General features: G+C 42.3%; 2 annotated features.

Annotated features, from left to right (window-relative positions):
• Positions 1772–2273: an enhancer, noted in NCBI's record as "H3K4me1 hESC enhancer chr15:26421889-26422390 (GRCh37/hg19 assembly coordinates)". NCBI's record gives its function as "activates a minimal SCP1, AML or CMV promoter by ChIP-STARR-seq in naive H9 embryonic stem cells {active_cell/tissue: H9 hESC(naive)}" and the evidence as "EXISTENCE:reporter gene assay evidence [ECO:0000049][PMID:30033119]".
• Positions 2274–2773: an enhancer, noted in NCBI's record as "H3K4me1 hESC enhancer chr15:26422391-26422890 (GRCh37/hg19 assembly coordinates)". NCBI's record gives its function as "activates a minimal SCP1, AML or CMV promoter by ChIP-STARR-seq in naive H9 embryonic stem cells {active_cell/tissue: H9 hESC(naive)}" and the evidence as "EXISTENCE:reporter gene assay evidence [ECO:0000049][PMID:30033119]".

Below are 15768 nucleotides of genomic sequence, written 5' to 3' on the forward strand. Positions count from 1 at the left end.
TGTTTTGTTTTTGTTTTTTGAGACAGAGTCTCGCTCTGTTGCCCAGGCTGGAGTGCAGTGGCGCAATCTCTGCTCACTGCAAACTCCGCCTCCCAGGTTCACGCCATTCTCCTGCCTCAGCCTCCCCAGCAGCTGGGACTACAGGTGCCCGCCACCACGCCCGCTAATCTTTTTGTATTTTTAGTAGAGATAAGGTTTCACCGTGTTAGCCAGGATGGTCTGGATCTCCTGACCTCATCATCTGCCTGCCTCGGCCTCCCAAAGTGCTGGGATTACAGGTGTGAGCCACCTTGCCCGGCCTAGAACTTGTAATGCAATTATTGTCAACCCTGTGGGGATAGTTCCAAAAAGGGGGCTTGGATCCTGATAAAACAGCTTATGGCAGTGGAGAGAGGAGGAATTCTATTGGGCTGTAATAAATAATTGCTAGGGAGACTGACTGAATCCAGGAAAGAAGATTAACTTGTAAATAGTTCTGTCTGGTATTTAAATGACCCTTGGAGATAGTCATTATATTCCTAAAAGGGTGCGTTCAGGTGTGGTCACATCTTGGTCCTCTTTTCTGCAACAGAAAATGAGATAACAGGGAGGGGAAGGAAAGATACTTGTTCTCCTTGGTGGGTCTGGATCTTACGCAGATAAAGGAATTCAGCTTCCTTGGTGGAGACCGTTGCGGAGGGGGTTAAGGTGAGAGTCCTTGAGGCTTCCTCAGTTCAGCATATCAGCATGTATTTTGGGTTACTAGGGTTACTAGTTTCTGAGCCCCAACACCACCTGCCTCACACTTGTGAGAATAAAAGGCATCAGGAGTGAACGTGCTTTGAAAATGCATATATTTAAAGGAATGAATCTGTTTATACATGCAGATTTTGTATAAGCATTCATCCTGGCTGCTTCATTTTTTTTCAGTGATTCCAGTTTTCTCTGTTCTACTCCTTCAAAAGCCCTCCACCCATCTTAATCTAGGAAAACCCATAATGACATTTCTTTTTCTAAATTATTTTTTATTTTTAGAGACAGAGTCTTGCTATGTTGCTGAGGCTAGCCTTGAACTCCGAGCCTCAAGCAATCCTCCTACCTCAGCCTTGAGAGTAGCTGGAATTACAGGTGTGTGCCACTGCGCCCAGTTTATGATGGCATTTCTTAATGTTTCCACTATGAAATATTAATAGGTATTATGTTTAAAAAGAACCTTGCCCCATGGTCAAATATGTCTGAGAAATCTTAAGTTAAAGGACATTGGAAATGGGCTTCTCACTGAGGGCCTCTTCTGAGTCACTGGTAAGCTGCTGCATTATAAATCCCCAAAGGTGAACAGAAGATGTAGCGTGCAGCATTCTGCCAAAGGTTCCGTAACTTATTTGCACATGGAACCCTCTTACGTCCCTGAGATTATCTCCTGAGGACAGACTTCAAAAACCATTTTGGGCAGATTCTTCTGTGTTCCTGGCTTTTCTCCCATCATGCACTTACAGCAGGAGATGCATTTGTGCAGCACGCTGGGCTGGATGGACGAGGCTGCTTGTGTCTAATGGTAGAGGAGGGGGCTGAAGCAGCCGCAGACACCCCTCACCCGCATCTTCCTGAACGATGAGGGGATACATGCTTAGGGCACACTGGTGACCAATTTGCAGCACATGAGTTTATAGGGGCATAGGAGTGCTCCTCGGTAATACTCTTTCCCAGTTTCAGAGATCCTGGCTTCCTCAAAGCCAGTAACCCAAAGTGGTTGGTGTGATGATGATGCCACTTTTGCCTGCGTTCTAACCATCTTCTCCCGATTTCTGGGGCCTGATTACAGCTGCACCAAGGAAGGATATCCCATAGCCTAGCGCAACCGCAGTCAAGCCACAGCCATCTCTTCTGAACGGGTTCGATTCCCACCTCCCTCCAACCTCTTCAAAAAAGTGCCTTTTTGGAAACTCCAGTGCCACCATGATCCCGTGCTGAAGGCCCTTCAGGGGCTCTGCGTTCCACACAGATTGCCATCAAAGCCCGCAAGCAGGTCTTATGACGTGGGACCCGCCCACACTTTCCCTTACTAACCTCTGCCATGCTGGCCTGCCTGGAGTTCTAGGACAGTCCCCACCCATGTCGCCCCTGGGCTTTCCACTGTCTCTTCCCCTAGACTGGATGCTTTGGGGTTTTCCCTCGTCTCTTTGCAGGGCTAAATGCCTGCTGTCCTTCAGTGCAGCTCTCCCTGAATGTCCAGCTGTGACAGGCCCCCTGCTCTAGCAGTGTCTCTCTCAGCGTCATGGCCAGAGTGCAGCCGGCTATCTGCCCTGTGCCTCAGATCATTTGCTCCTTGACTTTGCTGCCTCTCTCCCAGGGAGCTGCCAGTCTCATCCAATGCTTGACACTTCAGTGCTTGGTGGACTGTTTTTTGCATGGATGAATGAATCAAAGAAGTGCACGAAGTTAAGTCACACCCAGGCCTTTCCCACCAGGAGCCTCCAAGCCAGCTGCGAAGCAGTTGTCTGCACCACTGACCCCCGAGAAGTCAGGCCCACTAATGGAAACCAGCACTCACTAAATGCCGTGGAATCAGCGTGGCTGTAACAGCCTGCAGAGTGCCACGGGGGAGTGGCCAACATCAGAGCTCTCAAAGAGCAGAGCCCTGCACGCTTGGAAAAGTGCTCTTAGGAGCCCAAGAAAAGTGGAAGAAATATTAAGACTTCACTTAATAAATAAAATATAAGAGGGTTAAAAAGCATGATGTTCAGATATCATCACCTCCAGACTCCCATCAGTTAAAACAGCGTTCTCAGAAAACACGTTTCCCAGTGTTGTGTATAAAACTTAAGTCCCAGTCAAGAGGATTTCATAGGCCCACCTGCCACAGAGTGAGCAACACTCTGACACTTATCTTTTCAGCCATTTTTTTCCTTTTCCTTTTCATCCTCTGGCTGTTAGTGAACCACGTCTTCAAAATATTTCCTTGACCTCTCCCATTCTCTCTATGCAGCTGGGTGTGCCACATGCACTGGCAATCCCTGAAACAAAAGCCACTGGCTGAGGGTAGAGGTGGAGCCTCCCCCGGCTCCTGAGCTCACAGCGCCAGCACCTAGCGCTGCACCTGTTTCTGAAACAGGAGGGGTTCAGTAGCTGGGTACAGCAATGAACATGATGGCTAAAGCTGTTCTCATGGCAATTTTGCTGCTATTATGTCAAAAATGAGTTTCAGGGAATCTAGGTGAAAAACAGAACACTGTGCATTTTTGTCTTCCTTTTAAAATTAATTTAATTGACAAATACTAATTGTATCTATTTTGATCTATGTATACATTTTAAAAATATTCAGTCAAACTAATTAAGATATCACCTCACCACCTTACAATGGATTACGTACAGCGTTAAAAGGGAAGGAAATTCTGTCATTCGTGGCAACAGGGATAGAACTGGAGGCATTATTTTAAGTGAAAAGAGCCAGGCAAAGAAAAACAAATACTATATAATCTCACTTAAATACGCAATCTGAAAAGACTCAACTCATGGAAGCGGAGAGTAGAAAGGTGATTACCATAGGCTGGGGGGACGGAGGGGGATGAGAAGAGATGCTGACCCGAGTGTACAAAGCTCCAGTTAGACTGGACGAGTAAGCATTAGTAATCTATTGCTTTGCATGGTGACCACAGTTAATAGTAATGTATCGTATATTTCAAAATTGCTAACAGAATAGATTTTTCCCATGGCACGCTTTTTTCTTCCTCTAGCCAACTCGGGAACACTGGCCCTCTCCTGCGGCTGCCGCCCTTTGGAAACACTCAGGGAGAGGCATAGGTCAGGCAAGGCAAACGAGGGAACGGCTGCTGGCTGCTTCTGGGGAGAGTCTTCCCCAGCCTGGCTTTCGGAGGAGCCCCCCTCCTGGATCGCTGGCTGCCTGCCCTCTCCCCTGGTGCTGACTGCTCCTGTCTGTTCTCACGTGCAAGCGGTGTGTTAGGGATACAGTCCATGAGGTCCTCCCCTGCGATGCCAGAGCTGGACTTGGAAATCTCTGCATCCCAAGCCCATGCTCGAGCACACGACTTGTCATAGTTTGTAAGGCTTGGCCATGTATTTATAGCCTTTCCTCCCCGAAAACAAACCCCAGCTGATGATCCATGCTAATCATTTCAAGCAGAGAGGGCCTACCGAGGTGGTCTCCATGGCAATGATGTGCGCTTGGGTCTCCTAGGAGACAATTACTCGTGTGACATACTTCAGATTCGCTTTACTGCCCAAAATGTGAAGCGATTTTCCTTTACACACTGAGCCATGCTCAGAATGTGTAAGTTAAAATTTAATCATTTCTAACCATAGTTTTATTCCTGTGGTTTAAAAAGGTGAGATATTCCAAAGGGGAAAAAGAGGCCTAAAAGGTAAGGAAACGGCACACAGCTTCTTGAATTGCATTATAAATTACCTGACAGGGGTAGTTATGAGGCTGACAGAACACATTGGAACTCATCTATGTTGTGTTTTAGGGAAGGTTTGGTCCAGTGGATGGGGTTCTCTGTTGACATTTGATATTTATTTCAATTTAATCTGGAATAATTTATAACACATAACTTTGGCTGGAGCTGGGTTTAAAAACACATGGAACTTCGTGCATGGCACAGGTCCACACCATGCATGGCACAGGTCCACTCCATGCATGCATTACACAGATTCACATAATGCGTTGCACGGGTTCACTCCATGCATTGCACAGATTCACATCAGCACTGCACAGTTTCACTTCATGCATCACACAGATTCATGTAGTGCATTGTGCAGGTTCACTGCATGCATGGCACAGGTTCGCATCATGCATGGGACAGGTCCATGGACTGACTCATCACCAAAGTTGCTGTTTACCCAATATCACAGCTGGGCCAGACCACATAAATATGTGCTTGTGGCCAAAACATTTTATTTGTCTTAAAGCTCAGAAACCTGCCAAGCTCACAGATACAGGCTTTGAGGGTGACATCCCATGTTCTTGTGAGGCGTCAGTGCTGAAATACCTGAAACACAAAGGTGGGACAGTCCTGGGGAAGTGGAGCAGGTCAAGGCATTGTATGATCACACCTTACCTAACTTTCACAAAAAAAGAACTGGTTAATCTCAGGCTCATCCACAAGAGGGCTGCCTGTTATTATTCCTTGCTACAAAACCACCCAGTGGTGCCTGAGAGAGACAGGGAGCAGGCGAGCTGGGGCAGACACAGGGTGCGCAGCAGCCTGGGGGCGATGTCTCTCCTCCTGTTTGAGTCAGCACAACCCAGGACATGTATTTGAGTACCCATGGAGGACCAGAGGATCTGCAAGCGCATGGAGTGGCTGGACCCTGCCTTCCCAGAGGTCGTAGTCAAATCAGAGGAACAAACATAAGCCACACCTGTCTTAAAATGGGGCGCCGCTATTCAGAGGTGCGTTCTAAGTATTTGGGGAGCTCAGGGAAGGGAATGACTGATTTTGTCTTGAGAAAAGTTGAGGGTAACATGGAGTTGATAAAGGAAGAAGGATGAGGGAAGGCCTCAAAGAAAGGGTTGTCTTTGAACTCACCAAGGAGGAACAAGTTTCAGAGTCCAGGAAGATGGTGACAAGAATTGAGTTCAGGTGTAGCAAACACCCAGCAGTGCCAAATGCCTGGCATGAGAAATTGAATACCAAGATGTCCGAAATCCAGGCTGCACTACAGATTTCATGCTGTTCTCCTTATGTGACATTGTAACTTTTATATTCTGTCTCTCAGACCAGAGCCCCAGAGAGGAGGGCTTTTGTTTCAATTGTTTCTAATTGCAACATAAAACATGTTCAAATTTGTTGATTAAAAAATGAAATATTTGTTATTGGGGGAAATGGGAAAATGTTGGTCAAGGGGCACAAATTTCAGTTAGCAAGATGAATACAACCTGGAAGCCTAATGCACAGCAAAGTGACTATGGTTAATGATACCTTACTGTATACTTCAAATTTGCTAAGAGGACAGATCTTAAGCTTCTCACCCAAAAAGAAAAAAGGTAACTATGTGAGATGATGGATATGTTAATTAACATGTTTGTGGTGATTATTTCACAATGTATCTGTACATCAAATGATCAAATTGTATACCTTAAATATATACAGTTGTCAAATATACTTCAATAAAAATAAAAGTAAATCAAAACATAATTACAATATCATTATCACACACCTAAACAAATTTCCTTGATTAGTGTTTAATATTTTTTTTCTGTTGCATCGATCAGGGAACATTCGAACACAAGACCTGGATCAAATTACTTTGTCCTTTGCCTTAAAATTTCTATTATATTTCATCACAAATTAGCATGACACAGTGTGTGCTGAAGTCTGCTCAAGTTCATGACAGATTTTCTTGTTTTATAAATACTTTCTTTCACTTATCTCCTTATATACCAGTATTTCTCTTACCGGTATGACTGATATGAACTTTTTTTTATCAAATGGCCTTCACTGATGGAACAGATATCTGGATGGGTTCTTTTTTATTACCGCATAAAGTTGGAGTATGGCATCATCCAGGTACTTAGAAATGAATACAAATACAGCATTTTGAAATTCCTAAAAAAGAAAAAGAAAATGGATATAAAGTTTCAGTCATGCAAGATGTGTAAGTCCTAGAGAACTACTGTACAGCATAGTGCAGATAGTTAACACTTGAAAATATGTTCAGAGGATAGATCTTATGCTAAGTGTTCTTACTACAAACATACACACATATATACATACGTCAACACACATACACACATATATACACACACGCACATACACATATACACACACGCTCACACATACACACATATATACATACATGCACACATGCACACACACATATACACACGAACACAAGGAAACTTTGGGAGGTGATGGATATATTTAATATCTTGATTGTGGTGATGAGATCACAGACAGCATATATCCAAACTCATCAAATTGTATACATTAGATATGTACAATTTTATATATTAGTTATACCCCCAATAAAGCTTAAAAAAAGAAATAAGTAAAGGTTAAAAACAAGGATAAAAATGAAATAATGAATATATCAATGTCCATGTAATTCATTGAAAAAGAAAAAATGTGTTGCTGGTTTAAAATTTGTTATTAATTTATTTTGGTCAGGACACAAGGTCCTGGATTTTCTTCTTATGAAGCCAGTTGCTCAGTATATATAAAAAATGGGGCCAGGTGCAGTGGCTTACATGTGTAATCCTAGCACTTTGAGAGGCTGAAGTTGGAGGATCACTTGAGCCCAGGAGTTTGACACCAGCCTGGGCAACAAAGTGAGACCCCAATCTCTGTAAAAAAAAAATTAAAAAAAAAAAAAGCCAGGTGTGGAGGTGCACACCTATAGTTCCAGCTACTCAGGAGGCTTCAGCGCAGCAGGTCGAAGCTGCAGTGACCTATGACCACACCAGCCTGGGTGACAGTGAGACCCTGTTACACACATATAAGAACGAGTCATAAACCCATTGTACCTCAGGCCTGCCTAGCCATTTTCCCAGTGTTTTCTCTGGCTTTTTATAAAAATAGAGGAAAGAATACAAGTTGATTAACCTCGTACTACTCTCATAGTTGGAATCTGATGTGACAGTTGTATGTATGTAATCTACACATATGTGCATGCACTCAGGAAGAACCCACTGAGCCAGGTGACTCAGACAGATTAGAATTTCACAACTATGTGCTGAATCAATAAAAAGAGACCAAAAGAGTATCAAGAATGCATTGCTATCTATATCACATCTTTCTTCCATTTTCTCTAGTGAATCAATTACCTGGGATGAGGTTTAGACCTTTTAATTAGCTGAATTACTCAATTTCCTGACACGTCAATCCATAAAAAATGGGAAAAATGATTTAACTGCTGGACTCAAGCAAAAATAAAATGAAAAGAAGTGTTCAACAAATATAAAACAGACCAATTTCACAGCATGCAAGTTGAATTAAAGACCGACATTATGAATATAGTGCTTAAAAATACATCAGAAAGTATTCTTATGTAATGATGCAGATGTGATGTTTCTGAGCTGTGGTTGAGTCACTTAGGACAGTTTTCTTTTTATGGGACCACCAAGAAGATGCTAGGAGCAGAAGTCAAAACACATTAACTTTAACAATCTTTAAAAATCTGTGCCAATAAAATAACCCTAGTTCAATGAACCCTAAGGTAGACTATGGACCTTTGAAAAACTCCAGAAATGAAATTTCTGACTTGAATCTAGCAGGTTGCTAGATTATGATATTTGGGGGAATATAGGAGAAATTATAGTCTTAACAACAAACATCAGAATGGAAGGAAGGAAGAAAGGAAAAAAAAAGAGAGAGAAGAGAAAAAGTAAGAGAGAGAAAAAAAGAGTAATACTTTTTAAAGCTATAGAAAAAAAATACCTGTGTCTCTAGTGGTTACTAGGCTAATTTCAAAGGATGCCACACAGCTGCCTAGAAGAAATTCTGCCTCCATAAGATTCTTAATAGAAACTGTGCACGTTGTTAAACTGATGATGGCCACTGAAGATAGTGGTAAAGACAAATACAACTACAACAATATGAGGGGAAAACCTCAATATTAAAAATAATAAGTAATTTGTCCAAGGTTAATAAGACTAGGTAGAGATGTACGATTCTAACCCAAACCTGCCTAGTTTCCTAACTCATGCTCTTGTCCGTTGCAAAATGATTAAAAATTTAGCTTAGAGAATGAATGAAGAAAGGGAGAGTTTGGTTCATGCTTTTCAAAGGGTGGTTTATGGAACATCTGCATCCAATGACATGGCGGTGCTTTCCAAAATGCAGATTCTTGGGTCCTACCCAGACTGAATGAATTAGAATCTCTAAGATACAGCTCAGGAATCTGCATTTTGGTGAGCTCTGCAGCTGATACATAAGCACTCTAAAGCTTGGGGACGACAGACCTAATGAAATTCGAGCAGCAATTAAAGAAGTCATTGAGAATCCATTTTGCTGGAGTTAAGTGGTAGTACACTGGGGGAAAAGTAAGGAGGGCAAGTCAACATGGCCTCTGCATTTACTGGTGGATGGAAGCCATCCATTTACTGCATTGGCTCCATTTACTGAAGCCAATGCAGAGCTTTCTTGGATTCGATTCTGTAGATTCACTAGAGTGTTCCCTTTGTAATGATCCACACACTGATACTGTGCCTGAGGGTGTGCTGCATTTGAAGCTATTTCCTAACCATACAGCTATATTTGATGCCAGAAACCCAGCATCACCATCTTTAAGAATTCATGAATATTTTATGTTGTTGCTTGAGTAAAACATTCCTTGACATAGCGGAACTAGTCACAACTAATTATTGAAGTTAATCTTAATAATTTTATTTCCCATTACTTATTTGGGTAGTCATGTATAATTTTTCAATTAAGTTTGTGCTAACTATAGCAACTGGTTCTAAACAATTGCATGAGAGCACTACGAAGGCATTTTAGACAGCAAGAAGAGAAACACTCAAGCCTTTCAATAAAATGCTATTAACATGTAAATAAAAGCCCACAGAAAAATTTGGGGACCTTTGAATTTTGCATGATGTTATTTACCTTTTGTGTATGTATATGTATGTTTTGAGGGAAAGCTAGTTTAACCAAACCGATGTACTTTATACCATAAATTTCTTAAGACTTTATTTTGGTTTCCTCCTGAAAGTACAATGAAAAGCACTTACTGGACACTTCATATCAAAATTTCCAGTGGGCAGGTGGACTTTTCTGGCAGAGAGAGAGACCGAGAAAAGATGGCAAATGTTGAAGCAAAAGCGGATTTGTTGTATGATGGTAACATGAATACATCATATATTACTTACTTACACCTAAAATCTGATATTATTAGATTCCAAAATGCATAATTCATGTAAAAAAAAAACCCTATGCTCTAAGAAGAGAAATATGACCCAAGAAATAAAAGGAACCAGATAGCCCAGTGAAATAGCACTGCCAATAGATCTTTTGAGGATGATACAAATATTTTCTATCTGTGCACCCAATATGTCAGCCATTGGCCACACTGAGCACTTGAAACGTGACCAGTATGATTGAGCAAGTAAATTTTAGTTTTACTTAAATTTAAATAACCATATGTGGCTAGGGACTAGACTTTGAGCAGTAAGCTCTACAATGTAGTTCAAGTAGATAATCCAGCTGCTGAAGATGTTCGCAGTTTACTCATCTGCTATATTTTGAAAGTGTGTATGTGACAGTTCCAGAAGTAAAAAGGATATAAAAAGTTTTCTAAATGAGTTTTCACAAAAGCAAATTTAACATCATATAAATTAAATACAGCATAATTCTACACAATAACAGGTTTTAAAGTAATTTCCACCCTTGGGAAAGGTACCAATGTCAAGGTGTTTTATTATTGGCATGTTTGGACCACAAGACTTGAGTAAACACATCCATTTGGCTAACAGTTGGTTTTATCTACAGAATCTGGTTGTTCCCATTGCCATTAACTATAGTAAGGGATTAATTCCAGGGTATAAAATGGAGACTTTGATTAAGATGAGGGAGAAATAAACAAAATTCCCTATTATCCTTGACATGAAGCTTATTTTGGGAGGCATTTTTTTTTTTTGCTGGCTATAGAACTATACATTGAAAATATTTTTCATTTAGCACATAAAAAAGTGTGCTGCTTTCATGGCTTATCGTGAGGAATAAGCTGTCATTCAAATTGATTTTCTCTTGTAAGCAAGGCACTGTTTCTCACACCTTTCAAGATTTTTAAATTTATTTTTGGTTTCCAAAAGTTTGACATCGACAGGCCTTGGAGTGGATCATTTTGGGTTCATCCTATTTGTGTTCTGCGCAGCATGCTGTATCTCTACGTTTATAGTTTTTGCTTAACTGAAGATATCGTCAGTAATTGCTTTTTGCAACATTTTTCAGCACCTTCCTCTTTACTCAACCTTCATTGGTTTTTGATGGAAGCACACCATCCTTGTTACTAATGGTTGGGTAGAGTAGGCTGCTGATAGCACCCTGGCTGGACCCAAGAGTGCCTTTACTGCTACCCACGTGGCAGCCAGTGGCACCATGGAGCAGGAGATGTTCTGTGATTATTACCCTTGGGCAGTGATGGAAGTCCTGATTTTTCACGACACCATCCCATCTGACCACGGTAGAGGTGTCTGTAACATCGAGTTCAGAGTCGGTTCCTCCTGGTGGGTTCACAGTCTCGCTCACTGCAACTGAAGAACGAAGCCGCGACTTTCACAGTGAGTGTTACAGCTCTTAAACGTGGCACACACCCAAAGAGTTAGCAGCAGCAAGATTTAGTCTGAAGAAGGAAAGCACCAAGCATCCAAGAAAAAAAACACGACCCAAACGTATGTGCGGCTGGCTGGGGTGGCCAGCTTTTATTCCCTTATTTGTGCCCGCCCATGTCCTGCTGATTGGTCCATTTTACAGAGTGCTGATTGGTCCATTTTACAGAGCACTGATTGGTCCATTTTACAGAGCACTGATTGGCCCATTTTACAGAGCACTGATTGGTCCAATTCACAAACCTCTAGCTAGCCACAGAGCGCTGATTGGTGCATTTTTACAGAGCACAAATTGGTGCATTTTACAAACCTCTTGTAAGACAGAAAAGTTCTCCAAGTCCCCACTCGACCCAGGAAGTCCAGCTGGCTTCACTTCTCATCATGATATCCTGGAAGTCCTGGTTGTTTACATGGTCTCCACTGATGTTGGTGTGTGTGGGGGGGTGCCCATTAGTACCCATCAGAGATGGAAGTCCCAGGTCCCTACCTCGCCTGCTCTGACATCACCCCAGAGTGGTTTAGGTAGCTTGTTACAGCCTAGCCGTGGTGGCAGTATAGGCTTCCCAGTCAGCCTTTGCTGGCAGGGGTAGATGTGAAGCCACAGTTTCTCTGTGATGTTCAGCTGCACCAGAGCAGTTATTGCCTAAAAGTATTCTAACTGGCTAGGATGCCCCTTTTCTGTTCCTTTGGTTAGAGAAAGTAGTGTTTTCTTGGGGCTTTTTTTTTTCCTGGGGCTATTTTTTTTGTCTGCTCCAGTTGGCATTCCTTGCTTACCAACGTTTTTGGCTCCAAGTCTGGGACATATGAGGCAAAGCCCAGAAGACTCACCACACCCTGGAATAAAGTTTTTAAAAGTTTAAAATTTTAGAAATAACATGGAGTTTTTGATATAAGTCAGGCATTATTCTGAACATGTTACATATATTTTATCTTCAGGGTAATCTTTTGAGTTATCACAAAGATCTTTTTATCGCTGTAGTTTTTCTGAGAAGAAAATCAAGTTCCAGTGAGGCAGAGTAATCGTACAGTAAAAGGTTAACTCAGCAGGCTTTGGTGCTCAAACCTTACACTATTCCAGACAAAGGACTGGCTGTTGAAGGGCTCCTGCATGATGACGTCTGAGGCCTGATAGAAATGTTTGTGTGACGGAGGTTTGGGCCATGCTATACCAGCTTGCTCAGATAGTTTGTGCTATCAGTGTGACTTATGATGCTCCCTTGTTGTACGCTTGGGGCTTTGGGCCGTGCTCTATCAGCTGGACCTTGGTGGGGCTGGAGAGTCAGTAGCTAAGGTCAGCTATCAAGACACTGCCTGCCTACATGACGAACCCCCAGTAAAAACCCTGGACACCAAAGGCCCAGGCGAGCTTCCCTGGATGGCAACACCTCGCAGGTGTGTCACACACCATTCCTAGGGCATTAAGCACTTGTCATGCAACTCCACTGGGGGTAGACAACTTGAAGCTTGTGTCTTTTTTTTCTCTCAGACCTTTCCCTGTGTGCCTTTTCTCTTTGCTGATTTTAATCTGTGTCCTTTCACAGTCACAAACTATAACTCTCCTGAGTCCTGTGAGTCCTTCCAGTAAATCATCAAATCTGAGAGTTGTCATGGGAACCACAGACACATCAACCCAAGGTCCCATAGTGGGGAAAGAAGATCTGCCTTTCTACATAAACAGAAACTTCTCAAAAGAAGACATTTATGTGGCCAACAAACATATGAAAGAAAGGTCAACATCACTGATCATTAGAGAAATGCAAATCAAAACCACCATGAGATACCATCTCATGCCAGTCAGAATGGCAATTATTAAAAAGTCAAGAAACAACAGATGCTGGCGAGGCTGTGGAGAAACAGGAACACTTTTATACTGTCAGTGTGGTGATTCCTCAAAGATCTGGAACCAGAAATATCATTTGACCCAGCAATCCCATTACTGGGTATACACCCAAAGGAATATAAATCATTCTAGTATAAAGATACATGCACATGTATGTTTATTGCAGCACTATTCATAATAGCAAAGACATGGAACCAACCCAAATGCCCATCAATGATAGACTACATAAAGAAAATGTGGCACATATACACCATGGAATACTATGCAGTCAAAAAGGAATGAGATCATGTCTTCTGAAGGGACAAGGATAAAGCTGGAAACCATCTCAGCAAAATAACACAGGAACAAAAAAACCAAACACCGCATATTCTCACTCATAAGTGGGAGCTGAACAATGAGGACACATGGACACAGGGAGGGGAACAACACATATCAGAGCCTGTCGGTTGTGGGGGCTAGTGGAGGGAGAGCATTAGGAAAAATAGCTAATGAATGCGGGGCTTAGTACCTCGGTGACAGGTTGATAGGTGCAGCAAACAACCATGGCACACATTTAGCTGTGTAACAAACCTGCATGTTCTGCAGGGTTTTCTAAAAGTAAAATTAAAAAAAAAAAAAAAATGAAGAAGAAGATCTGCCTTTCACCAAAGCCCCTGATTTAAACTACCCCCAAGATGCTCACTTCTCAAATTACATGGGCTCGGGGTGTAATCATTGGATTATTAGGTTTGCCTTTGCTTCTGTCAGATGTGCTTACATATGACAGTCAGGCCAAAGTCACTGGCTTCGTATAAACAAATCTTCTTTTTCCACAATGATTTCTCAAATCCTCATTATTCTTGCTAGCAGATATCTTTTTCACTTGAAAGATGAAAAGATCTTTCCTAATCTGTAAGAAAAACAAATCCAAACACAACCACTTTTTATAAATTTTGGGGAGGAAGACATACTGCTGACAATATTACAAGAAGGCTTTGAGTTGCCAGGAAAATATCAGGCTTGAAGCTTGTGACAGAGAGGAGGAGAATTGTGTCTAAGTCTTAAGCTTTATGCCATAGATCCCCCAATTACACTAGAAATTGACTAGAAGGCAGTTCATTATTACAGTAATTTGGATAGTAAATGCATCATCAAATTTTTCATTTAGAAAAGATCATGATGATTATTTTTAAAAATTACCCCTTGTATAATGTAAGCCTGAGAAAGTTTACAAAGTACTAATAAGGCCTACCTTTTGGCTCTTGGAAGCATCTTGTCATCGGTCCATATTTGGAAACAGCTGTCACTCATGTGCTCCTGCCACCACCCCCAGGAGCCCAAGGGTCCCTGTCACTATGTGTCCCTCTTCGTTTCTTCCTGTGTTTCCCAAACTAGAGCTCAGAACAAAGCAGGCACAGCTCTGGGCCTGAAAACTTCTGTCTGACTCGACCTTTTCCCTGTGGACCTCTCTGGGGACTTTGTTCTTCTCAGACATCAATTCCAGAAGGATCGTTGGGCTATTAGAATTAATTAATATAATTTTATAATTAACTTTTATAATATTAAGCTCTTAATTATCCTGTAAGCAGCAATTACAGAACCCATGGTTCTTCTGCCACCACCTCCGTGACTTATATGTGGAAATCAGCGTTTTCACAGGAAGTTCTGCTACTTTATGGAGAACCCACTGTCCGTGAGGTGGTTGGACATTGCATTTCATTAAAGGGATAGGGAGGGAGGGAGTGGGACTTTTAACCCTGAAGGCTTGGCTCCATGATGATTGTTACGGTAACTCATGAGTCCTACTTGGTCAACAGTGTCCAAACCAGCATTTCATTCATTGGTCCCAAATTCTGACCCCAAATCTGTGTTTTTTTGCCTCCTTGCATGACGGTCTGCAGTAGATTGACATTGAAGTGGTTGTTAAAGGTTTTGGGAACCCTTGCATCATCTTCTGCTTTCACTGATACGAGTGCAGGGTGGGCTGCATCTCAGGGCAGGACACATGGTACCTCAGCCCTCCCATGACTCCCTCATTCACTCTGTGCTGGAGGTGGGGTGCTGGGAGGTTATCTGGCTCTTCTCTGCAGAAGAATGGGCCAGGAATTCTCAGCATGGGTCTTGTCCTCTCATTTCCTCCTAGGAGAGAGCTCCTGGTGGGGGGCAGCTGTTTTCCTCCTCTCTTGCCCTTGGGAATGACTGGAGACTTGTGTGCCTCATTCTAGGATGTGGGTTGAAAAGTCCTTGTACCCTCAGATTTAAGCCACGTTCCTTGATACTTTGCATTTTTTCTGTTAACAGTGGAACTTTGGTTCAGAAATTGAGTGAATAAGAGGGACATCTTGGCTGCCCAGACCCCGGTTTTCCCACTGTCAGTCAGCATTAGAGACTGTCTTTGTGGAAGCAGAACCACAGACCAGCCCTATGGTGTGGGAGCCAGGACACCTGTGCCATGCACCTACACTCCACAGCAAAGATGGACTTATATGGTAATAGCATGTAATATTTCATAATACGTTATTATTCTATGTCTTCATCTAGAAATTATCAAAAGAGTATTGGTTTCTCTCTCTTCTTTTTATTTTATTTTTTTTGAGACAGAGTCTCATTCTGTTGTCCGGGCTGGAGTGCAGTGGCATGATCTCTGCTCACTGCAACCTCCACCTCCTGGATTCAGGCAATTCTC

The sequence above is a fragment of the Homo sapiens genome, chromosome 15 (genome assembly GCF_000001405.40).
Source record: "Homo sapiens chromosome 15, GRCh38.p14 Primary Assembly".
In the NCBI taxonomy this organism is placed as follows: domain Eukaryota; kingdom Metazoa; phylum Chordata; class Mammalia; order Primates; family Hominidae; genus Homo; species Homo sapiens.